The following is a 24,803-nucleotide window of genomic DNA, read 5'->3' on the forward strand; positions in this document are numbered from 1 at the left end:
CACAGGCTGTGGCCCCGCCCAGTTCCCGCCCTCTCCCCGGCCCCTCCCGTCCCGAGCTGCCCAGCCCTAGTTGGAGCCAGCAGCCCGGAGGACTTCGGGTATCAGGTATGCCAGGAGGGAGAGGGTGATACAGCAGTGTGTGTGGAAGGGAAGGAGAAGGCTCTTAGGGTAAAGCCATTGGGGTGGGGGGCAGGCAGTGTTAGGGGGTTAGGGCAAGGACAGGGAGGGTGAGACTTGCCTATGGACACACACCCCAGCTCCGGGACAGCTGGGCTGATATGGCTCCTAAAAATAGCAGAGGAATTTGAGACCTGCAGCCCCCGGCCCCACAGGCCAAGCTTGAGACAAGCACATGCGCACTCATGTGCATGTACACGTATACACACACACACACACACACCAGCATGCACGAACATTCAATCAACACAGTGTTCTTGAGAACACCCAAATCATAGGCCTACCCTAGCCATCTAATTACTGCGGCAGAGGCCAAGACAGCCACTAACGTCACATCCAAGACAGCACACGGGGCCCACTGCACACTGTGCCCAAACAGCAGCCGCAAAGCAGTCCTGTAAGGTCTGGCAGGAGCAGAGACCCACACGGGCAGGCCCACTTACTGCCCCACTGCCATCAGCACACAGGGGACATGCAGAGAATCAATTACACTCTCTTTGTTTACATCCCTCTCCCCTCCACAGACGCCAGGGACTGCACAGGCAGAGAGGAGGGTGGGGTGGGCCTCAGCCCTGCAGACAGAGGAAGTCATGGGTGTCTAGCCAATGAGTGATGGCTGCCTGTGAAAAGCCAGTGTTTCTTGTGAAGAGAAATCCTGGCCTGGCTCTCCAGTTAGCACCATGGGATGCCTAGACCAGGACTAGGGACCCGCTGAGACGCTGAAATGGGAGCTGGAGAACAGAATGTCAAGGGGCCAAAAGACAGGGAGAGCAAGTCTCAGAAGCCGTCAGCTCTGCAGAAAAAAGGAAACAGTCATTGCCTCCCTCTTCCTCTTTAGGAAAAAAAAAAAATGGGGTGGGGGTGGTGCTAGGAAGCCCTGATACAGAACCGCCTCCTAACCAGTCTGGCATACACCCCATGCTTCTTGCCCCTGGCCAGCTCTAAGGGCCATTGGTTCTATACATTGTCTGACTTTCTCCATGAAAAGATTGGTAAGCACTGCCAGAGAGGATGGAAACCCAGCCCTGCCTCCTACCTGCCATGCGCTGTCCAAGTCTCACTGTCATATAGTCACATACACAGACTCTTAGGACACGGCGCTTGTGTCCTGCTCTCTAGGGAGTGGGATGTCCCCCCAGGGGAAGCATCTGGCCCTTCTGAAGCACGTGCAGTGTCACAGGTCTTCACATCTTCAGTGGCTACTTAGAACAATGGTGCCAGCCTCAGCTGCTCACTGAAATCCACTGGGGAACTTGAAAAAAATACTGATGCCTGGAGCCCACCCTTTCCCTCTCAGTTTCTGACATAATTGGTCTGGGAGCAGGGGCCTGGGCACTGGGATTTTTTTGTTTTTGTTTTTTTTTGAGACGGAGTCTCGCTCTGTCGCCCAGGCTGGAGTGCAGTGGCGTGATCTCGGCTCACTGCAAGCTCCGCCTCCCGGGTTCACGCCATTCTCCTGCCTCAGCCTCCCGAGTAGCTGGGACTACAGGCGCCTGCCACCATGCCCGGCTAATTTTTTGTATTTTTAGTAGAGACGGGGTTTCACCGTGGTCTCAATCTCCTGACCTCGTGATCCGCCCGCCTTGGCCTCCCAGAGTGCTGGAATTACAGGCGTGAGCCACTGCGCCTGGCTGGACACTGGGATTTTTTATTGATAAAAGCTCCCCAGGTGATTCTCACATGCAGCCAAGGCTGAGAACTGCAAGACTCTAAGGCCAGCATAAGGCCTAGCACAGAAATGTCCATTTGTTAAATGAATGAGTGAATGAATGAATGATTTAGCTGTGTGAACACAGGCAGGTGACTTAAATTTCCCTTATCTGTAAAATGAGGATTACACCTTTACTGACTCTTACCCAACCAGTATGAGACTGGTACATAATGTATGTGAAAGGGCTTTGGTTCTCCAAGTTCTCAGGCCAGCAGCGTGGGCATCCCCTGGGGACTTGTTGGAAATGCAAATTCCAGGAACCCAACCCAGACCTGCTGAACCAAGAACTCTGGATATGGGGTGCAGCATCTGTGTTTTAACTAGGCTTCCAGGTGATGCTGAGGCACATTAAAGTCTGAGAAGCACGGCTTGAAAGGAATGATTCACAGCATACCATGGTTAGGAGTATGACCTCCAGGGCCACACGGCCTGGTTTAATCTTGGCTCTTGCATGAAGTAAACTACACAACTTGATCTCTCTGTGTTTCAACTTCTTTTCATTTGTATTTTATTTTTTGAAATAGAGTCTCACTCACTCTATCGGCTGGAGTACAGTGGCTCCATCTCGGCTCACTGCAACCTCCGCCTCCCAGGTTCAAGCGATTCTTGTGCCTCAGGCTCCTGTGTAGCTGGGATTACAGGCAGGCGCCACCACGCCCAGCTAATTTTTGTATTTTTAGTGGAGACGGGGTTTCACCATTTTGGCCAGGCTGGCCTTGAACTCCTGACCGCAAGTGATCTGCCCGCCTTGGCCTCCCAAAGTGCTGGGATTACAGGCGTGAGTCACCATGCCCAGCCTCTGTGCTTCAATTTCTTCATTTGTAAAATGGGAAAATAATAGCACCTACCACATGGGGTTATTACATGGGTTAAAAGAATTAGTTCATACATAGCTCTGAGAACGGTGTCCAGCACATTCATTTTCAATACTTAAAACAAAACAAACAAACAAAAGCTCTTTTGCCCAGGCTGGAGTGCAGTGGCACTATCTTGGTTCCCTGAAATCTCCATCTCCTGGGCTCAGCCCATCCTCCCACCTCAGCCTCCGTAGTAGCTGGGATCACAGGCATGCACCACCGTGCCACCATGTAGGTTTTTTTTTTTTTTTTTTTTGCACAGATGGGGCTTCCCTATGTTGCCCAGGCTGGTCTCAAACTCCTGCACTCAAGCAATCCACCTGCCTCAGCCTCCCAAAGTGCTGGGATTACAGGCATGAGCCACCACATTTGGCCTTAATACATTTTAACTATTATTATCTACCTATGATCATAAGCGGGGGAAAAAATGAGGCATTGTAAGCAAAATTTCCAGGTAACTGGAGCCTACCCTTTTTAAGGGATAAAAGATTTAAGTCATTTTCTAAATTCTATACTATTTATAATCCTAAAAATAACCAACATATATACCCTGCTTCCTTAAGTACAACACTCCTAATTCATCTCAAAGATCTCACACTCTGAGCTTTCCTTCTTGAACCCAATCCATTTCTGCTCCATCCTGTACTGAAGGGCACGCCATCTCCACCATGATGACTCCTGACTTCCTGGCCTGGCTACAGCAGCCTGGCTTCTGCCCCACCAATGCCCCAGCCTCTCTCCAAGGGCACCAGCCCCTCTTAGGCACCACCATGCTGAAGCCTTGCATATGCCTATATTAGGAAGGCCAGATGCCCTTTGTGGCCATATGTCTGCTTTTTAATTCTTTTGTCCCCTACCTCATTAGGCCATCAGCTGTCACTCGTCTGTCAGTGTGCCTGTCTCCACTCAGCTTCACATGCAACTACAGCTAGTCCCTCTGCTGCCCAAAGCGTGGTGGTGCAATATCAGGGCATGGTCCATTTCTTTGATGAGTCTAACTGATGGCTCCAGAGGCCATGTGGACACTCCCACAGCCAGCCAGGCCACCCCAAGCCCCTCAGCTTGCCTCCAAGGACAGCTGGAAGCTATAATCTGGCCCCTCCTCAGACTTTACTTTCACTTTTCTAGTCTCTTCTCCCTCTTCCCAGCCAGCCTGGCTCTCCGTCATTTGCCTGCCCTTGTCACCACCAGAGCCATTCCTTACGAATGTGTCTCTACCTTGGCTGACCCTCTCCATCTCTCCAGGCCCATCTCAACTCCTGCCTCCCTTATGAAGCCTTCCCTGAAACCCAAGACCCACCCGGCAATGCAAAGAACGTGGGCTTGGCAGCCAGACACACCTGGGTCTGAATCCCAGCCTCTTTCTTGCTGTCTGACCTAAGGGAAAGTTACTTGACTTCTTAGAGTTTCTACCTTTTTGGCCTTAAAATAGTATGATATCCACCTTATGAGGCTGTTATAAGAATAGAAAAGGCAGTACATGTAAAGCAACTGATGTGCGGCCTGGCAAATTATAGTTATTAAATTATTAATATCATTATTATCATAAACCATAGCACTCACTGTCCACACCTGAACACATTACATACATACGGTTCTTGGTTATACTCAATATGGTGCTCTATTATATACAGTGGAGTCACACACTATGTGGGGTTAGATTCCAAAGTCAGCACGTAAGGCAAAAATAGAATATAGTCCAAAACTCCTGAAAATCCCTTAAACTGCTCACAAAGTATAGTACACATGATTTTGAGTATGCCATTTGGTATAATATAGCTGCAGGAAAGCATAATAGTCATGTACAGCATATAGTAAAAACACACAAAATATTATTTTTATAATTTTAGGCTACAGTAATATAGTTTCTTTCACAACCATATAGTTGAACTTATTGAAGTTTACTGTCCACGTGCCATGACTATACAGCATAACTAATGTTCTGAATGATAATCGATTCGTGTTGAATGTTTAAGCCTGCTCTCCCTGGAGAGCTGGGACCATTTCCTACTTCCTTTATATCCCATCCCGTTCCCCAGCACTAGGCACACAAAAGGTGTTCCACGAAAATCCATATGGATTTAACCAACTGATCTGAACGGTGCACGCACAATAAACGGGCTGGAATAGAGTGGGGAACAAGGGGATCTCCATGTGTGGTGACAACTTCAACTGCTCTGCTCTCCCACATTGGTGGCGTGGATGAGTGGAAGGTCCTTGGCTCTGTTTCAGGCACTTGACCAGGCAGAGTGGCTAAGCAGAGCTGGGGGAAGGCCAGACAGGAGGCTCTGAGGGCTGGAGGAAGTCGTTCACTTATTCAACTAGCTGTGAACTGTAATACCTCAAGGCGAACACTGTGGGGAAGCACCGTGCCTGCTTCTTTTTCAGCTTCCCCACCACAGACTGAGCTTCCTGAGGCAGAGGTTGTGTGTTGTTCATTGCTCTATCCCCAGCACTCACCTAGCACTGGGCCCTGCTCAGAGACAATATGAGGCACGTTTGAGTGACTGAGTGAAAGAAGATAATTTAGTTCTTGTTTTCAACTAAATACTTCCTGATTTAAAAAAATGTACAGATCAGCAGAGGAGATAACAAATGTACCCCAATAATTAAAATTCAAGTCAGGGACGTCAATAACAGTCTAGGGAAGTTCAGAGGCAAAGATCTGTTCCAGTTACGGTATTAAGTAGACAGCTTACAGACAGCTTGGAGCTAGGCCAATGAAAGAGAGAAATGTTATAATGTGGCAATGAGGTAGGAAGGGAATTCCAGGGTGAAGAAGTAGTGTAAGAGAAGGCAAAGAGGGGCCAGGCAGGCGTAGTGGCTCACGCCAGTAATCTCAGCACTTTGGGAGGCCGAGGTGGGCGGACCACCTGAGGTCAGGAGCTCGAGACCAGCCTGGCCAACATGGTGAAACCCCGTCTCTACTAAAAATACAAAAATTAGCCAGGCGTGGTGGCATGTGCCTGTAATCCCAGCTACTCAGGAGGCTGAGGCAGGAGAATCACTTGAACCCGGGAGGCAGAGGTTGCAGTGAGCTGAGATCACGCCACTGCACTCCAGCCCGGGCGACAGAGAGAGACTCCATCTCAAAAAAATAAAATAAAAATAAAATAAAATAAAAGGCAAAGAAGTGGAAAAGCATGAGATGTGGACAGTAAGTCTGGAAGAAATGTATGACACATATAGGAAACCAAGGAGGGAGGGATAAAGCTGGGAAGGAAGCTGGGTCTCAAATCAAGCAAGTGTGTGCTGTAGTGGACATGTGTTGTTTCTGCTGCCCACCACCCATTCCTCCATCCTCTGATTATAGCACTCCATTTTCCCCTCTGGGGACCCACCCCAGCACATGACTTCGCCCTGGCCAATAAGAATATCCTGGCCAATAAGAATATCCTCAGGCTATAGGTTCATGGAGGGCATGTGACCCAATCAGTTTCAAGGATACATAATGAAACTTGGGGATTATTCAAAGAGTCACACATCTCTATCCACACAACTAGAACCTGGGGCTGTGACATTTTGCCATTACTTGTCTGAGGACCAAGGCTGCCTAGAAGATGGGGTGAGAGACAGAAAAGGTCAGGTCTTGGTCACACTGTTAATGTTTCCAGATAAGGCTGAGCCTGTAGCCGGTTCTACTGCTGGACTTTTCAGATACTGGTGACAACACATATCTTCTTTTTAAGCCAGTTGAGCTGGGCTTTCTGTTACTCTCACCTGAAAGAGCTGTACCTGAGATGAAAGCAAGGTGGGCAGTCAAAGGAACAAGAAGGTACACACCAAGCACTAGCCATGGCCAGGCACATGCTACTGGTTTTCCTCTCAAAACCCTGCGAGGTAATGAGAAGGGGAATTGTGGAATGGGGAAACGGGGTTTACAGAGGTTAAATAATTGCCTGTGATCACACAGATTGTGACTGGCCAGGTGATTTGAACTCAGATTGTTCAGATTCCAGAGCCCAGCTCCTTACACACCACCACCTGCCTGGAAAACAATGGGAGGCACAACAAGCTTTTGGAGAGTGATGGGGCATGATTTAACCTGTGCCTTAAGAATGCTGAGCAGGTCAGGCATGGTGGCTTATTCCTGTAATCCCGGCACTTTGGGAGGCCGAGGAAGGCAGATTGCTTGAGCTCAGGAGTTCAAGACCAGCCTGGGCAACATGGCAAAATCCCATCTCTACAAAAAACACAAAAATTAGCTGGGTGTGGTGGTGGCATGCCTGTGGTCCCAGCTACTTGGGAGGCTGAAGTGGGAGGATCACCTGAGCCCAGGGAAGGTCAAGGCTGCAGTGAGTCATGATCACACCACTGCACTCCAGCCTGGGTGACAGAGTGAGAGACCCTGCCTAAAAACAAAAAACAAAAACCAAAAAACATTCTGAGCTAACAGGATGCAAGAGGAGGAGAAAGGAGGCTGGAAGGTGAAAGAACATTAGAAAGTCAAGGTAGTCAGGCATGGTGGCTCATACCTGTAATCCCAAAACTTTGGAAGGCAGAGGCAGGAGGATCACTTCAGACCAGGAGTTCAAGACCAGCCTGGGAAACACAGAGACCCGTCTACAAAAAATTTAAAAATTAGCCAGGCGTGGTGGCCTGCAACTGTAGTCTTAGCTACTTCAGAGGCTGAGGTGGGAGGATCAATCACTTGAGCCCAGGAGTTCAAGGTTACAGATTACAGTGAGCTACGACCATGCCACTGCACTCCAGCCTGGGTGACAAAAAAAAAAAAAAAAAAAGGAAGTCAAGGTAAAAGGTGATGCCAAATGAGAGATAAGAAGGGTCTGCCTAGGATTCTGGCAGTTGATGGGGAAGAGAGGGTGACTCAAGAGAAAAAATAAGCTGGACTTGGTGACTATTTGGGGAAGGATGGGAAATGGGCACAAGCGGGTCTGGGTGGAGATTGAGAAAAGTAAGGAAAGATACCAAGGTTTAAAGCTTGGGAAGATATATTTTGTTAAGATATATCTTAACAATGAGATATATATATCTTAACAAAATATATCTTAACAAAAGAATACTTCTCTGACCCCATTTGTCCCTCTAGTTCCCCTGTAAATCAAAACTCCTAAAAAAAAGTCTATAAGCACTGTTGCCATAAATGGGTACTAATTATATGATCCTTGTATTACAAATTTGCGGTGTGTAAAGTGTCAATAATAGAACTATATTTAGGGAGTTGGGGAGAGTCCTGTTTAAAGCACTCAGAGCTCAGGGCCAGGAGGGCCTGGAGCACTTGCTTTTGAAGTGGGAGGGCCCAGCCACTAGGGTGGCAGGTGCACTTCCAGGATGACCACTTCAGAGGTCCTCAGCACCAGCCCTAGGGCCAGTACTAGAGTCTACACCTGTCTCAAAGAAAATGCCAGCGCAGGAGTCCCTTCCCTTTCTTGGGAGGAATTATCCTTTATTCTTTTGTGTGTGTGTGTGTGTGTGTGTGTGTGTGTGTGTAAGTAACAAAATGTCACCTCGTATGAAACAGTAGTGTTAGGAGACAGCGATTGGTATTGAGGTGCCAAGATTTTTTATGAAATTCTACCAGTGCCGATAGCCAGTGGATTCTGAAGGGTTATAGGGCAGACTCCCTTTAAGAAGCCTAGGGATGGTCTCAGAGAGGAGAAGGAGGGCTGAGAGGAAACCTGGAGTGACCAACGGCGCATGCCCAGGGCCACCCCAGCCACTCAGCACCCTACGCACGGGTCAGGCTCTGTGAGGGCCGAGTCAGCCCCAGGCCCGGGGCGGCACTTCCCGGGTTGGCCCACCGGCCAGCCGGAGCCTGGGCGGGGCCAAGGGGGTGGGGCCAAGCCCAGCACATGCGCCTAGAGCCCTGGAAGCTCCGCCCTGCAGCGCCGCTGGCGCCCAGCAGAGGGTGGCAGCCCCCTTCTCATCTACCCTCCCGCTTTGCTGGGGCCGCTTTCACCTCCGCCAGGCCGGCCTCCAGGCCCCACCCCCAGGAGGCGTCCCCCAGGAGCTCCGGCCCGAGGGGGCTGCGGCGGCAAGATGGCCTCTCGCCGTCCCCAGGACGCGTAGGGCAAGAAGAGGCAGGGATGAGCTCGGTGCCCACTTTGTTTTTATCACCGCTCTATCCCCAGAACCTAAAACAGTTCCTACATATAGTAGGCATTCAGTAAATGCTTATTGATGGAATAAATGAATGAATACATGAATGCAAGGTCAAAAGACGCCAGGAAAGCCTGTTCTAGAGAGGGGCTTGTCTAGAGACAAGCAATCAGGAAGGTCAGTGGGTATGGGACGGCGAGCCACAGATCACTGCCCCAGAGGTGGTCGCCGAGGCTTGGGGCTCTGACACTCCCCCCAGCCCCTACACCCACCCAGTCCCTGCATTGGCACACCCATCAGTTTGCTCAGAGCCATGTGCCACCACACCTTTTCGGGCACAGAGCCCAAGTAGGGACGCCTGGGCTTGTCCTCTCTGCCAAGACCCTGAGTCAATCCCCAAAGACTAGGCAGGCATATGCGGCCGACTGCAGGGACCACCTGACTGGCCCGACAGCAGGCCTGCTGCTCTCTGAGGTCTCTCAGCTGCTGGGGATTTCCTCATGGCCCCCGGGGACTTCCAAATTGCCTCTGCTTTGCCAAGCTCCCCCAAGGCCCAAAGCCATGAGCCAGCCTTGAGGATCCTTTCCCAAAATCCTCCACAGCCCTGCCCCACATCTCATCAGGACTTGGGTCACTTCTGGGTCTCCTAAATGTACCACATGCACTATGTTCTCCTATCCACCCCCTCTGGTAGACAGGAGGGAATAAACATAATGAAGCATTGTTCTCTTTTTCATATAAATGACAACTCTTCTCCATTTCCACAGAAGAAAAAAAAGGAAGCCAGCTTAAGGGTCAGCCACAGCAATTTAAATAAAATATCAGTAAGGTCTTCCTGGGTGTGAGAGATGGAGGCCTGTGGTGCTTATTCTCAAAGTCAGAGAAGTTCTTCTAGACAAGCCTCAGGTTCCTCGTAACACTGGACATCCAATAAATATTTGAGAATCTGTGTGTTCACCTCTGGAGCCCCTATTGGGCCTGTTTCTAAAACCCTCTGAAGTAAAAAATAAAGCACAAACCCTATGTCCATAGAAACAGGAAGAAGCAAAAGCCTCTACCTTGCCTACCAACCCACCACCTCTGTGCTAACAGCCTGGGCCAAATCCACTGGGGCATGTGAGTACCTGTGTGTTACAAAGCTGGGCAGAAGACATCCTTGGCGAGGAAAGGAAGCGCTGCCCCAGTTGTGGTGGCACACAGCCAGGGACCTGCTGGCCCTGGGGCATTAGGATTCCAGAGCTGGTGGTGGTTGAGGTGTAGAAATTGCCAGAGAGGACAGCTCTTCCTTCTTGAGAGGAAGGGGAAATGCCACCATCCCCTGCCTTACCAGGGGGACTCTGAAGGAGGAAACAAACCTTCAAGAACACCCAACTATTTCTTTCTGGGAGCTGTTTAGAGCCGTACTGTTCAATATGGTAGCTACTAGCCATGAGTGGCTATTCAAATTGAAGCTGGCCGGGTGTTATGGCTCATGCCCATAATCCCAACATTTTGGGAGGTCTAGGCAGCAAGATCGCTTGTCTTCCTTTGATGACTGATTTTGAGGTCTCTCTTCTGTGCCTTTGAAAGACCCTATAGAGGATCCTCTACCCTTTGTCCCGCCCATTTTCTTCAAAATCCCAAAACTGTAGCTCTTATTGTTGCTGTAGAAACAGATGCTTGTCAAACATGAAGTTGGTTGGAAGGGCTAGTTTTGGCTGCAGGAATTGCTTTCAGCTCATCTGGGGAGGAGAGAGGAGGAAGAAAGGAGGAGAGAGGGGGCCCCAGGCAAGGGCCCACAGGTCAGGAGTTGCTGTGGTTGCAAAGGTGTTGTTAACACAAGACCAGCCTGGGCAACATAGTGAGACCCCGTCTCTACAAAAAAAATTTTTTTTTAATTAGCCAAGTGTGGTCCCAGCAACTTGGGAGGGGGAGGTGGGAGGATCACTCAAGCCCAAGAGTTCGCTGCAGTGAACTGTGATGGTGCCACTGCACTCTAGCCTGGGTGACAGAGCAAGACCCCGTCTCAGAAAAAATTCCAGTTAAATGGAAACAATGAGGATACTTCTGATTAAATTAAAATCAAATAAAATTTAAGGTTCAGTTCCTACTAAGTTGGATAGCATTATAGACCATTTCTACCCTTGCAAATTGTTCTGTTGGGCAGGTCTGGTCTAGAGGTTCCCTTTCAGTGTGTCCTGGTCCCTCTACCAATGCCTCCTTCAGATGATGCCCCCGCCTACCTGCTGTTGTCTCCCTTCCTCACCCCAGAGTCTGCTTAGACTCCTATCCACACATGCCTTGCCTTGTTCCCTAGGCCTCCAAAAGAGGTGGAGGAGGGGACTGTAGTCACAATTTAATACCCAGCTGGGAGCAGAAGCCAAGACTGAATGGAAACCTACTCCCACCCCAAGGCGTCCCAGGCCTGGGAGAAAGCCCCTCAGTGCCTGCACAATCACACAATGGTTCCTTGTTTCTGCATTCTCTGGGCCAAGCACGAGTAAGACATCTGGAATGCAGTGGCCTGAGGGCTTCCCCAAGCCACCCGCTGCAGGACTTATCTGATGTTAGTACTCCTATAGAATCAGAAGTCCCAACAGAATCCTGAACTTTCAACAGCAAATAAGGCCAATGAAGCCTCATCCAGGGCATGCCAGGATTTCTGCCATGGAGCAGTGAGGCCCATAACTGGACACCTCCCTGTGTCACCAACTAGATGAAGCAAAGGAGGAGTAGGAAGGGGAGGACACGGTGGAGAATGGACTCTGGACATATCTGACATGCTGGAGAGGAGGCTCAGAGAAGCCCCCCAGCCCCGCATCCACAGAAGAGCAAAGGAACAGATTGGCGGGTCTGACCACTGTTGTGTTCCGTCACAGAGACTTCACTGGAGAGGTTTTGCTGCAGTAAAAATCACAAGTGGGAGAGTCTAGGCATGCTCATATGGGTGGTGGAAGGAGCAGAGGACAGACTCTGGAACTGGCAGGTCAGGACTGTCTTTCTGTTTTATGCCTCAATTCCTGCTTAGTCCTAATCTAAATGGGCTGTCAGGAGCAAGACAGGTGTGAAGAAACAAAATAAATTGTAGAAAGACCAAAAAGTAGGGTGAGTTTGTTCAAATGGAAAACAAATAGGTAGAAAGACACCTGGTACTCCAGAGGTCTTGCCATCAGCTAAGAATCTGACTGGAGGGAGTCACAGAGAAAGCAGCCCAATTTTAAAAACTGGAATCAAACTTCAGACCAGATTGGAAACTCAGGCCAAAGCAATCCCTCGCTAAGATTACTGTGCAGCCCTGAGTAAGCTTAGGCCTGTTCCCCATCTCTACCTGAAAGGCACTTTGGGCATAAGCATCAGCGTGGGGACAAGAATAAAGCAGTTCTCCAACACTCCCCGTGAGCAGAGCTGAGCCATTAACAGGAACAGCACCTGTGACATTCCTGCGGGTACCAAGCTACCAGGCACCAGTGCTTCCTGACGTACCAGAGACAGATTAATGAGGATGATGATAATGTTCACTTCTTCTTTTTTTTTTAAACAGGATCTCATTCTGTCACTCAGGTTGGAGTGCAGTGGTGTGATCATGGCTCACTGCAGCCTCAAACTCCTGGGCTCAAGCGATCCTCCTGCTTCAGCCTCCTAAGTAGCTAGGACAGGCATGCACCACCACACTGGGCTAATATTTTTACTTTTTGTACAAAGTAGCACTATCTTTCGCAGGCTGGTCTTGAACTCCTAGCCTCAAGAGATCTTCCCATTTCAGCCTCCCAAAGCACTGGGATTACAGGTGTGAACCACCATGCCTGGCCAATGCTCACTGACTCTAGGCACTATTTTGAGGCACTGCTCTAAGTGGTTTATATGTATTGATTCATTTAATCCTCAAGACAACCTTACAAGGAAAGTACTATTATTTTGTGTTTGCTTGTTTGTTTGAGACAGGGTCTTGCTCTGACACCCAGGATGGACTGCAGTGGTGCAATCACGGCTCACTGCAGCAAACTCCTGGGCTCAAGCAATCCTCTCACCTCAGCCTCTTGAGTAACTGGGACTACAGGCACACACCACCATGCCCAGCTAATTTTTGTATCTTTAATAGAGATGGGGTCTCACCATGTTGTCTGGGCTTGTCTCACTATGTTGCCCAGGCTAGTCTTGAACTCCTGGGCTCAAGTGATCCTCCTGCCTCAACCTTCCAAAGTGTTGGGGTTACAGGCATGAACAACCACACTGGACTAAAACTACTATGATTATTCTCATTTCATAGATGACGAAAATGAGGCACAGAGGAATTAAATAATTTGCCCAAGGTCACTCAGCCAGTAGGCAGCATGGCCAGGATTCAGACCCAAGCAGTCTGGCTCCAGAGGCCAAGCTGTAGCCAATACTTAGCAATGTGTTAACAACACCTTCGCAACCACACACAACTCCTCACCTGTGGGTCCTTGCCTAGGGCCCTCTCTCTCTCTCCTCCTCTCTTCCTCCTCTCTCCTCCCCAGATGAGCTGAAAGCAGTTCCTGCAGCCAAAACTAGTCCTTCCAAGCAACTTCATGTTTGACAAGCATCTGTTTCTACAGCAACAATGAGAGCAGCAGTTTTGGGATTTTGAAGAAAATGGGCGGGACAAAGGGTAGAGGACCCTTTATAAGATGGGTCCCTCTTTCAGAGCACAGAAGAGAGACCTCAAAATCAGTCATCAAAGGAAGACAAGGGGGCTGGGGGAGGACCCCAAAGCCCTGATTAAAGCAGGAAAACTGATTCCCCTACCCCAGAGACAAAGTCCTCTGGTGCGAAGCCAGCTGCTTTCCTCTGGACAGAGAAGGTAAGGGCTAGAAGCAAATGGCAGAAATTGGAGGGGTCTGGGAGAAAAGGACAACCCACTCTAAATTCTGCAGAGTGTGTGTGTGTGTGTGTGTGCGCGCGCGTGCGTGTGTATGTGGCGCCTAGGCCATTCCTAAGCTGGGTGTCCTGCCACAGAACCCAGTTCTGTGGTTCTCTTCCCCAGGTCGAAGTTAGGTGATGATGGATGGAGGCAAGAGTGATCAGGCAGCCCTGGGAGAGGCGTGTAGACAGGCCTCAGTGTGCCCGCACAGGGTGGCTCACCTCCCTCGAGGGAGGGCAAGGGCATTTGGGGTGAGGTGGTCAGGCTGGTACCCCTAGGAGAAGGCTTCATTCCTGCCTGCCCCTCACCTCATCTAAGCAAGAAACCCCTTTTCTTGTTCAGAAATCCTGAGGCCAGAATCTCAGGCTGCCAGGGCAATCGGGGCTCTGCCAGGCAAAGCCAAGTGCTAAGGGGAATAGGGATGTTTGCTGGTCACCGATTCCAGGAAGACAGGCCACAGCAGTCCCCCCAGGCTTCTCAGGCAGGGGGCCCAGTTTCCCTCTTGCCTCTGTTGATCTTGAGGCATGGCCAAGTGAGTGGGGACTCGACCCAGCCTGTGCCCGTGTCCTTTAGGGAACCTAGGTGCCTGCTGAGAGGAGGCAGGGCTGTGCCAGGCTCAGCACATGCTGGGTTCCCCCCATGCCTGAAGTGCCAGGCACACTAGCTCCCACAGCCTGGACAGCTCTGGGGAGGGCGAGGCAGAAGATGCCAGCCCAGCCGGGGAGGAAATCTTTTACTGCTCTGAGCCCAGTGCTTCTGCAATCAGCTCCACAACCAAAGCAGTCCACACATGAGGGAGGGGCAGGGGCATGAGGGAAGGGCCCCCAGCAGGAAGAACTAACCACACAAGGAGATGGTATCAGACCCTTCCCCTCGCCATGTCCCTGGAAGGTTCTACTGGAATCTCTAGATACTTTCCCCTTGATGTGTTGGGGCCGGGCATGAAACTGGGTGTCACGGAGAGTCATGACAGTCTCACGCTGCCTGACGGTGCTGTCACTGCCTGGCCTCTAGCCCATGCCACCCAGGGCTGAGATAGATCTTCCTGCACACGTCTTCTGTCCTTGCAGAAGCACAGGCTCCATCATCACAGGGTGCTATCTTCAGCCTTTCTTCTCCACAGAACCAGGCTCAGGGGCTGACAGGGAGCAGTGTTCATCAAGGTGTCCTGACGTCCCACCCTGATTGCAACAAGGCTCTGGGGACATCCACATCTGGCCTTTCCTACAGCACAGAGCTCTGCCTCCTCCCCACCACACATGCAGCCCTCTTCTGCCCCAGGGCCGGGGCAGCCTCAGTCCTGCTGCCAGAGAAGAGCTCCATGGGAAGAACCTGCCGCCCTGTGTGGACCCTGCTTGCCCCAGGGCCTGGCAGTGAGAGGTGCTGGGGAGGGAGGGAGGAAGTGAGTCAGCTCCCTGCAGAAATCTGAGTGGGAGGGAGGAGCCAGCAGAAATGAGATCGGGGGCAAAGGGCACAGGAGCCAGAAAGGTCACTAAGAGAGGGAACCAGGCCCCGAAGGTGTTGCGGGACCCACAGAGTACAAGACAGATACAGGTGATGAATTCGGCAGGGCCACCTCCAACCGAGGCTGGGTGGCCCCAGTAGGCCAGAGAACCTGGGTCCAGAGGCCTGGCCCCACCTGAGGATGGAATCCGAGGCGGCTCCCCTCCCTGACTCATGTTCACACCAGAGGTAGCAAGGCCTTGTGGGACATGGCCAGCCTCATTCTCTCCTCAGAGATGGAGTCTCTGGGCTCCAAGGCCTCCCACTCCCTCTCCTGAGCCCTACAGCTCCAGAAGCCCAGGTTCCCCATGACCTGGCCTAGTAGGGACATGCTAAGGTCCTACAGACAAGTCACCTAGGCCAGTCAGAGCGGGAAGGTTCCAGGAACCAAAACTGTCTCCCAGAGGGGATGGGAGCTGAGCCTGGGCCCCAGGAGCAGAGCAACTGGGGCTGCCTTAGCACCCACTCTCTCCTCCCTGGTAGGGACATGTGGGAGCTGTCCCCAGGCTCCAGCTGGAATCCATTGCTGTGACTGGGTAAGATCCTTGCTGTGAAAATTCCCATCCTGCTGACATTCCAGTATGAAGGCAGTTCAGGGAGAGCAGCGGAAGGGAAGAGGAAGCCCCACTGGGCCACATTCCAGCCCCTCAGAGACCTACAGCCAGTGAGACAGGCGCATTCCTCCAAGGTCTGAGACAGACACTGCGTAGCCCCCATGTAATCCTGAATCTTCTTCTCACCCAAGCCTGGCACCTTCATGTGGGCTCCTGTGTGGGGGCAGGAGGCAGCCTGTCCCCAGGACCTCCCTTCCCAGGCTCCTGCTCCTGGATGCCCACAGAGCTGCCTCTCCTCCAGTCCTGTGAGAGATGCCAGGCCCCAGGCATGCAAGAAACAGTCCATGGGTGGAGATGGGACACGCTAAGGTCCTAGAGACAAGTCACCAAGGTCAGTTAGAGCAGGAGGGGTCCAGGACCCAAAACTGAGCTAAAGTTTTGGTTCTGGTCTGGAAGACCGAACAGAGAGAATGAGAAACCAGTTCCTGAGTACAGAACCATCTCTTTCCTTCAACAAATATCCCCTGCCCTCATGCAGTGCTCCAGCACTGGAGAAGGAATGAGATAACTCAGTAATTACCATCTTGTGAATGCTATGAGAAGGCTGGGGTGTTGCCAGGTGGGGACCTGACATGGTCTGGGAGGATCAGGGACAAGTGATATTCAAACTGAAGCCAATGTGTAGAAGTGTACAAGGGAGGGCAGGGAAAGGGGCTACAGACAAAAGGAACAGCAGGAGCTCAAGGGTAGACGCCAGTGAGAAGCCTGCATTGCCCCCACCACTGCTAGGCCCTCTGCCAGGCTGTGCTCCGCCACTGTTTTTCCACAACACACAGAGGAAACAACAGCGTGGCCCTGAGCAACACGGCGAGCCCACTCTTGGTCAGAGGTGACACTGCAGGGATCCTGTCACCCCAAGTGCTATGGAGATCAGCACTAGCATGCCAGTATGGGCCAAAAAGGTGAGAGGGGCAACGTCCCAGACTCCCAGATCTAGCATATGGCCCTCCACTCCTGGGGACCACATCAAATGCTGCCAATGTAGGTGCCACTTCTCTTCTTAAGGCGTCCCTCTTCCACCCTTCCCTCTCCCGGCTCCCACAAGATTGAATCCTGCCTGCTGCCACTTGGGCTCACTTCCTCTGGCTAACCCTCAGGAGACACTGAGAGCAATGGTCACACCCTTCTGCAGCACACCACCACAGCTCAAGAGTGGCCCATCACTCCTGGTTTCCTTCTGGAAGGATGACAAGGAGGTGAAGAGGCTTTTAGTGACAGGGCAGCAGGAGTCAGAAGGTCTGAGCTAGGCAGTGGATTTATATGGATATCCGGATACTGCCTTGCTCTCCCCTATACAGCAGACTAGTCAAGAGCTGATGGCCTGAGTTCAAGTCCTGGTGAGTCACTTAATACCTGTGCAACCTTACACAATTTGCCTAACTTTAACCTCTCAGTAATGCAGTTTCCTCACTTTAAAACAGATTGTTATGATCCTTCAAAGGGTTGTTGAGAAAATTAAATAAGTGAATATATGTAAACACTGAGAACAGTGCCTAACCTACAGTGAATGTTAGACGTGATCCTCACCTTGCCAGAACTTTTCATGCCCTTCCCCCAAGGCATTTCTGTTTAGTTCAGTCTTTTTTTTTTCTTTCGAGACAGGGTCTTGCTCTGTGTCCCAGGCTGGAGTTGAGTGACATAATCAATGGCATAATCACGGCTCACTGTAGCCCCAACCTCCCAGGTTCAAGGGATCCTCCCACCTCAGCCATCCAAGTAACTGGGACTACAGGTGTGCATTACCACCTCTGGCTAATTTTTGTATTTTTTGCAGAGATGGTGTTTTGCCATGTTGCCCAGGCTGGTCTCAAACTCCTAGGCTCAAGCGATCTGCCCACCTCAGCCTCCCAAAGTGCTGGGATTATAGACGTGAGCCACTGTGCCCTGCCTTGGCTGAGTCTTACCCAGATCAATTAAACACCACCTAGGGCACGTGTCTACACTATGCACCATACTGAGCGCCACAGATAACACCCGGCGAACACCCGGCAAACACCGACATCCTGCCCTGGCCCAGAGTCTGTGCAAAGCAACCGGGCTGAGTCGCACCAGGGCAGAACACCATGCCCTGATTCTGGAGAACATATGGCGGGAGATTAAGGGAGCCCGAGGGGTGACCCAGGTCTAAGGAAATAGTTTCCCAACCAAACTAGAGCCCACAACTGAAAAAATAAGCTTTGCTAACACTGTCCCCTGTATTTAACAGAACAGAAGCTGCTGCCAAACACCATGCGGGACTCTTGAATTGGCTGCCCCCCATCAAACTGCACAGCAGAGGTGGGGGCCCTGAAAACTCCGCTCTTTCGCAGTGGCTGTCTGGCATGGTGGGCGCCCTCAGTGCTGCCAGATGCCTGGGGCACAACCATACCCGCTGCCCAGGACTGACAATGGAGGCGCCAGGCTGCCTGCCCAGGCAGCAGGGGAGCCCTCACCTCAGCTGGGTCACCAGTCCCCACCGTCCCCCCAAGACTGCAGTGAGTAGAATACAGCAGCTTAGTGCATTGGGGTGGCGGGAGCCCTGCTGGCAGGCAGCGCGTGCCTGTGGTTTCTGGGAAATGCTGTAGAGATTTGCAGCATTTTTAAAATACTTGTGTTCCCACCCGCCACACACTCCCCTTCACCCTACTCCCCACTCACCCCCAGTCAGGGTGTTTGCATATCTGGTATTTTCCAGAACCAGTCCAATGTAAATAAGAGAGATTAGAAGGGAGCAGAGGGCAGGGTGACTTGGGGTGTCAGGGCAGGCAGGAAGGGACCATGACAGGAAGAGGCAAGGGCAGGCTACCTTTAAGACCCTGCCCCTGCACCAAGGCTCCAAGCTGTGCCCACAGAAGCAGCCATGACCATGTCATGTACCCATACTCAGGTCAGTGCAGCCTGGGCACTGTGCCCACCACCCACAGGCTGGATGGCCACGGTACTCCAGGGCTGCAATTCATCGAGCATCTCATAAGGAAGAAGGCAGAATGGTGCCTCCAAGGACAGAGAAGGGAGCCCTGGAAATGATCTAGTCCACTGCTTCGCCCTGACAGTCCCCTGCATCCCACTACTCCACAATAGACAATCCCAAAGACCTTTCACCCACCACGTCCCATGCCCTTGACACCTGCCCCCTGCCCCCAGCCCTTCATTACCTAAAGGACTTAGATAGGGTCCCTCACTGAGCCCTCAAGCCAGGATTCTCACATGGCGAGACTCAGATGCCAGGGGTGCCTGAAGCTTTGGCACAAAATGAAGACAAATTTCCTGTTTTTAAAAACAAAACAAAACAAACAAAAAAAACAGAAACAGAAACCAAAAACCCAAAGCAAAACAAAACAAAACAAAAACGCTCCAAGGATCACTTGCAGTAAAATCAGGAACAGAAGCATTGTAGAACACTGAGCCAGGCAGCACACAGCTGCTCCACCACCACCAGAAGGCCCTAGGAAAGCCCAGTGCTCCAAACCCGGCCTGGCAGACCTGGAGGCAAGACCATTTTGAGTCTTCCCTTGGAATCCTGCAGGCCCCACTCCTGGCAGCAGCCAGGTACCCTAGGGACAAGGTTGATGAGGCTCATACAGTTTCTACCCAGGGGTCTAGGGCTTCCCCTACAGCAAAAGGGCTCTCCTGTCCTTCTCCCAGATGCAGGCAACCCTGACTTGCCCATCTCCTGCAGGGCCACCAATGGCCAAGCCTGCAGGCCCGAGAAGCTGGCCTCTAATAAGCTAGAAAAGGATAGGAAGCACCCAGAAGGCCATCTCTCCCTTCAGATGGCGTCTATAAGGCTAGGGCTACAGGAAAATCCAGACGAAAGCATCAGAAAACCTCAGGAGCAAGGATGGGTGAACACTAGGATGGATTCATTAAAGAAGCTGCAAAATTACCCTCCCAGGGTGGCTTTAGAGACTGGGCACAGGGAAGGGAAGGGTACTAATGTTTCTAAGCATTTACCACCTGCCAACATCTCACATACGTGAACTTGCCTAACATAAACATGCTTACCTTATATAAAGACCCACAAAATATACAGAATAAAAAGCAAGTCTCCTTTCAGCCTGCAATTCTATTCTGCTTCTCAGAGGCAATTGGAGTGAATTCACTGGGTATGCATCTTTCTCCAACTTAACCTTCTCAACCTCTGGGAGGATAGAATAGGCCTATTTCATAGAGATCACAGGTCACCTTCACCAGGAGGCCTCTCCTGATTGCCCCCCACTTCCCCCAGGCAGAACTTCCTCCTGCCCCACTGTATGCCTGCACAGACTTCTGCGATAGCAGCTTTGCATTTCTTTACTTAGGTCTATGCTTCCTCAAGGAAAGATTATATTTTGTTTATTTAATCCCCCAGTGCTAGCACAGTGCCCGGTCCTTAGGTCAACTTCATTAAATATTTACTGAGGGAAAAGTGAACACTGAGGCTCTGAAAGGTTTGATAACTTTGGTAAAACCCAAACCCAGGTCTTTCTGGCTCCAAAGCCCATGCTCTTTCCACTGTAACATGTCCTCTCCCAAACCCACCTGAGCGTGGAGGTGGTTTATGTGAACATGGCAACCTCATGAGGAACCCGACAGCCTGAAAGCCTTTGACTAGAAACTCCACCCCACACACTAAAACCTCCAACTAGCAGCCTCACGGTCCACCAGGAGAAGTACCCCTACCACAGCGACTAGACTTGGCTGGGAGGGAGTGGTAAGCCTTCCTTTAAGACCCCCTCTCCCTTCCCACCACATTCTCAAAAGCTCAGGGAGAGCCAGGTGTAGTGGCTCACGCCTGTAATCCCAGCACTTGGGAGGCCTGAGGCAGGTAGATAGCTTGAGCTCAGGAGTTTGAGACCAGCCTGGGCAACATGGTGAAACCCTGTCTCTAATAAAATATACAAAAATTAGGCTGGGCTTGGTGGCTCACGCCTATAATCCCAGCACTTTGGGAGGCCGAGGCAGGTGGATCACCTGAGGTCAGGAGTTCGAGACCAGCCTGACCAATATGGTGAAACCCCACCTGTACTAAAAATATAAAAATTAGCTAGGCGTGGTGGCAGGCACCTGTAATCCCAGCTACTCAGGAGGCTGAGGCAGGAGAATCGCTTGAACCAGGGAGACGGAAGTTGCAGTGAGCTGAGATCGCGCCACTGCATTCCAGCCTGGGTGACAAGAGTGAAACTCCATGTCAAAAAAAAAAAAAAAAAAAAAAATAGCCAGGTGTGGTGGTGTGTGCCTGTGGTCCCAGCTTCTCAGGAGGCTGAGGTGGGAGGATCGCTTGAGCATATAAGCCAAGATCGCCCCACTGCACTCCAACCTGGGTGACAGCAAGACCCTGTCTCAAAAAAAAAAAAAAAAGAAAAATGCTCAGGAGGCCTTGCTTTCTGGCCAGCACCTCTGGCTCTCCATGGCAGGACAACCACATTGGCCAGGGTTTAGCTGGGTGGGCTTTTCTGAGCTCAGCAGAAAAGTCCTATACTCCCAGATGCAGGAGGACATGCCTCGTCCTAAGGGACTCCATTTGTCCTCCCCTAGAATGGACCGACTGAGGATACAGACAGACTCGCCTTCTCCTCTCCCAGGCCCTAGTCTCCAGCCTGGCCTCTGCCCCTTCTCAATGGGCCTTGACTTTCCCATCCGGACTTATGGAAGTGGAGGAGGGAATTTTGATCCAACTGGGGTTTTGAGATCCTCAACTTTACCAACATCTCCCCTAATCTCACCAGACTTAGGAAACACTTGGCCTTCAGCAAACTTAAGAGTAACTGATCCAAATACAGATGCCCCCCAAGAACTTTCCCTAAGGAATCAAAGGGGAAAGAATGTAGCATCTTCCCAGTACTCTGGCGGTCACATGACCCCTCCTCTCCCTCAGGCCCCTACCAGTGGGTCACCAAGACCCCAGAGTCTGACTCAGTTGCTCGAGTCTGAGATGGCTCTCCATCCCACTGCCTCTACCTGAGTCCAGGTCTCCATCCATTCTTCTAGGATCACAATCACTCCCTCACCACTCTCCCCACAGCCAACTTTGCTACACCCTAGAGCATGCTCCATAAGCAGCCAGAGTGATTTCCTAAAACCTGTTCCTATTGCTCCCTGATTAAATTGCTTCAGTGCCCTTTGGTTAAAGTTCACGTTCCCCAGCACGGCTCACAGGGGCCTCCATGACCTGGCTCCCGTGGATGCCTCCTAGTGCTTCTCCCAGCTTTCCCTTCCCACACACCGTCTCCCAGCCTTATTCCTGAAATATGTGATTCTCTCTCCATAACTTTAGGCCTTGGCATGTGTTTGTGACAGTGTTTCCCTTCCTCTTGCCTCCGCTTCACTCATCTACTACCCAGATGTCAGCTTTCGCTGACCCATCCACAAGACTGGACTTGAAGCCCCTCTGCTGCACTCCCAGCACCAGGACTGGCCCCTGTGGTTGAGCTTCTCAGAGGGTACTGTCATGGTCTGCTACTGGAACATCTCTCCCGCTTACTATGAGCTCCTTGGGGCTGGGATTATGTGCTGCTCACCGCTGGAGCCCAGGACCTAGTATGCAGTAAGTGCTCAACAAATGCTTCCCTAATGGATGGGCAGGTGGAAGGATGATGGCAGAAGAAAACGGTGTTCTCCCAGGCCTGCTGGTTGATTTCTACCAGGCCACAAATCTACCCTACCACTGTGGCTCACCCCTGCTCCCAGCGGAACCTCATCTAGCAGCTACCAGGACACATGAAGGTGTGAACCCAGCATTCTGGACACACGCCATGTGAGAGGGAAACCCAAGGGGCTGTGTCTCCCTGGGGCCTTCTAAACAGGCCATGGAGAGGAGCCGGGGGCCTGGCCCCATCTGTGTGCAGGAAGATAACAGATGGCTAGTCAGCTCCCTCAGAGCTCCCTGGGGACAGGCAATGTGTGGACACAGTTGATGGATGGCCTGATGGCAGGGTGGCCAGCAAGAGCTGTCCCTGTGGGGCTACAGTCATCAGGGTATCCCTCCCAGGAGTCTGGAGGAGGCGGGAAGACTTCTCTTGGCGCATAACTGGGATTAGAACTGCTGCCAAGACAGGGAGTAGGAGGAGTAAAAGGAAGAGGAGGAGATACAGGCTGAGGGTACAGAAGAGGTGCAGCACCCCACGCCACTCCCAGCCCTGTCCCAGGAAGCTGGAAACGCTGGGCTCACCCTGGTCCTCTCTGCTTGTGGTATGAGTCCCCACCACCTACCTGGGTGAGAAAAGATATGGGCTTCTTTCAGCCCTATGTGTCTCCTTATCCTGCCACATGGCTCTAGGAGATGCATGGGGATGGGGTTTGCTACTGTGTCCTCTGGCAGATGAAACAGGCTGAGGCTCGGGGAAGAAGTCCTCTGGGCACCAGCTGGGCTTACCCCATAGGAGCTAGAGTGAGCCAGCATTTCAGGGATACCAGCTATAACTTGGAATCCACCAGGGCCTCCAAAGCTAAACCATCTACTTCCCCAGGGATGGGATAGCAGCAGATAGTTGGGAAGGGAAAGCTAGGAAAATCTGAGATGCCAGGATGATCCCTGTGCTATAAAGAGAAAACCAAACAGCATCTGGGATGCCAGGCCCAGGGCCCCACAGAGGCCTTGCTGTGGTTCAGCAGGGAGCTGGCAACAATCCCCTGGGGGATTCATTCTTTAAGAAGAAAATTCCATCTGTTAAAAGCAGCGTTAGCCTGGAAGAACGCAGACAGGCATGGCAACATGTTAGTCTTTGCTTCTGTTATTGTTTTTGAGACAGAGTTTAGCTCTTATTGCCCAGGCTGAAGTGCAATGGCTTGATCTCGGCTCACTGCAACTTCCGCCTCCCGGGTTCAAGTGATTCTCCTGCCTCAGCCTCCTGAGTAGCTGGGATTACAGGCATGCGCCACCACGCCCAGCTAATTTTTGTATTTTTAGTAGAGACAAGGTTTCTTCCTGTTGGTCAGGCTGGTCTCGAACTCCCAACCTCAAGTGATCCACCCGCCTCAGCCTCCCAAAGTGCTGGGATTACAGGCGTGAGCCACCACCACCCAGCCCAGTCTTTGCTTCTGACATAAAGACCCCTCCTTGTTCTTCCCTCTCTACCTCGTGGTTCTCTGAGTTCCACCTAACCTGGTGGCTAAAACATAGTAGGTGCTCAATGTGTGCTTCTGGAATGAAGAGTCCAGGTCTTCCACACAGGCCTCCTCCTCCCATTCACTACCCTTCCCTGACTAGCAAAGCTGCCTAAACCCAGCTAGCTCCGGGTTAAAGGAAGGCCTGGAACCCAACTACAGTGCTTCCTGACAGTCTGACCCTACCACTGCCAGCCCCTCTTCAGGCCCAAGGTACTACTGGGTTGAGTAGCAGCTGCTTCCCCTCCCTGGGAGAAAGCTGGGACCGGGACTCTGCCTGTTTCCTCCCATTAGCACTTCCTCCCATTTCTGACTTTGACACATCTGGCTGGTCACTTAGTACCAAAAGGTCCTGGTCAAGCAGCAGGGGCCAGATCTGGACGGTCCTAAAACCCACAGCTGGGAAGGGAAGATGGCCAGAGGTGGTCACTTGTCCTTCGTATACTATCTCCAGGCAGGACATTCAAACTGCTATGTAGCCACCCTATCAAAAGACCCCTGGGATTAGTGAGCTTGATGCCCCATGGAGATCCGCTCCTCCATCTGATCTAAACCTCTCTGCTCCTGTGCCTCCTGCTGCTCTTTTTGCGCGGGCAGCTGGGGTCTCAGTGACAGTCAGGACATACTATCTGTGTAGGTTTTATCCCTCTTGCTTTTCCAGGTCCATGCTTTTTCTCCTTCCAGGAGAGGTAATAAAGACTCTTGGAGCCCAAGTGACCATTATAAATCAGATCCAGTTACTCCCCTGCTTCGAACCCTTCAATAGTCCCATTTCACTGGGATGAAATCTGAATTCCAACTGTGACTTACAAGGTCCTTTATGATCTGCCCCTGCTTTCTCTGCAGCCTCACCTGATATTTCCTTGCTCACTCAGGGGCAAGAGGAGGCTCTGGCCTGAGGTCATCTTTCCCAAAGATATAATCATACCAGCTATACATCTCAGATGTTCCATGAC

General features: G+C 51.4%; 1 protein-coding gene and 1 long non-coding RNA gene across 7 annotated transcripts in view, besides 9 other annotated features; one reads left to right on the top strand and one right to left on the bottom strand.

Annotated features, from left to right (window-relative positions):
* MYO18A (myosin XVIIIA) overlaps positions 1–24,803 on the bottom strand; it is a 109,277-nt gene that overhangs the window by 69,300 nt on the left and 15,174 nt on the right. The window lies entirely within an intron of this gene.
* On the top strand, positions 53–24,565 carry LOC124903967 (uncharacterized). 2 transcript variants are annotated; one of them, XR_007065693.1, is made up of 3 exons: positions 53–105; positions 14,790–16,685; positions 22,086–23,680. It is a non-coding gene; the product is annotated as an uncharacterized LOC124903967 (long non-coding RNA). The 2 variants fall into 2 exon arrangements; XR_007065692.1 differs by lacking the exon at positions 53–105 and adding an exon at positions 13,426–13,606 and having other exon boundaries at positions 22,019–24,565.
* Positions 208–297: an enhancer, noted in NCBI's record as "active region_11964". NCBI's record gives its function as "activates an Ori minimal core promoter by ATAC-STARR-seq in GM12878 lymphoblastoid cells {active_cell/tissue: GM12878}" and the evidence as "EXISTENCE:reporter gene assay evidence [ECO:0000049][PMID:35858748]".
* Positions 448–497: an enhancer, noted in NCBI's record as "active region_11965". NCBI's record gives its function as "activates an Ori minimal core promoter by ATAC-STARR-seq in GM12878 lymphoblastoid cells {active_cell/tissue: GM12878}" and the evidence as "EXISTENCE:reporter gene assay evidence [ECO:0000049][PMID:35858748]".
* Positions 8,355–8,834: a silencer, noted in NCBI's record as "silent region_8365". NCBI's record gives its function as "represses an Ori minimal core promoter by ATAC-STARR-seq in GM12878 lymphoblastoid cells {active_cell/tissue: GM12878}" and the evidence as "EXISTENCE:reporter gene assay evidence [ECO:0000049][PMID:35858748]".
* Positions 9,215–9,404: an enhancer, noted in NCBI's record as "active region_11966". NCBI's record gives its function as "activates an Ori minimal core promoter by ATAC-STARR-seq in GM12878 lymphoblastoid cells {active_cell/tissue: GM12878}" and the evidence as "EXISTENCE:reporter gene assay evidence [ECO:0000049][PMID:35858748]".
* Positions 9,425–9,474: an enhancer, noted in NCBI's record as "active region_11967". NCBI's record gives its function as "activates an Ori minimal core promoter by ATAC-STARR-seq in GM12878 lymphoblastoid cells {active_cell/tissue: GM12878}" and the evidence as "EXISTENCE:reporter gene assay evidence [ECO:0000049][PMID:35858748]".
* Positions 13,599–14,526: an enhancer, noted in NCBI's record as "H3K27ac-H3K4me1 hESC enhancer chr17:27481038-27481965 (GRCh37/hg19 assembly coordinates)". NCBI's record gives its function as "activates a minimal SCP1, AML or CMV promoter by ChIP-STARR-seq in naive H9 embryonic stem cells {active_cell/tissue: H9 hESC(naive)}" and the evidence as "EXISTENCE:reporter gene assay evidence [ECO:0000049][PMID:30033119]".
* Positions 13,599–15,884: a biological region, named in NCBI's record as "P300/CBP strongly-dependent group 1 enhancer GRCh37_chr17:27481880-27483079".
* Positions 14,441–15,640: an enhancer, noted in NCBI's record as "P300/CBP strongly-dependent group 1 enhancer chr17:27481880-27483079 (GRCh37/hg19 assembly coordinates)". NCBI's record gives its function as "activates an origin of replication core promoter dependent on BRD2, BRD4, P300/CBP, MED14 and CDK7 cofactors, with strong dependence on P300/CBP, by STARR-seq in HCT116 cells {active_cell/tissue: HCT116}" and the evidence as "EXISTENCE:reporter gene assay evidence [ECO:0000049][PMID:35650434]".
* Positions 15,590–15,884: a silencer, noted in NCBI's record as "tiled region #271; K562 Repressive non-DNase unmatched - State 14:Gen5'". NCBI's record gives its function as "represses a minimal TATA promoter and a strong SV40 promoter by Sharpr-MPRA in K562 cells {active_cell/tissue: K562}" and the evidence as "EXISTENCE:reporter gene assay evidence [ECO:0000049][PMID:27701403]".

Source organism: Homo sapiens, chromosome 17 (genome assembly GCF_000001405.40).
Source record: "Homo sapiens chromosome 17, GRCh38.p14 Primary Assembly".
In the NCBI taxonomy this organism is placed as follows: domain Eukaryota; kingdom Metazoa; phylum Chordata; class Mammalia; order Primates; family Hominidae; genus Homo; species Homo sapiens.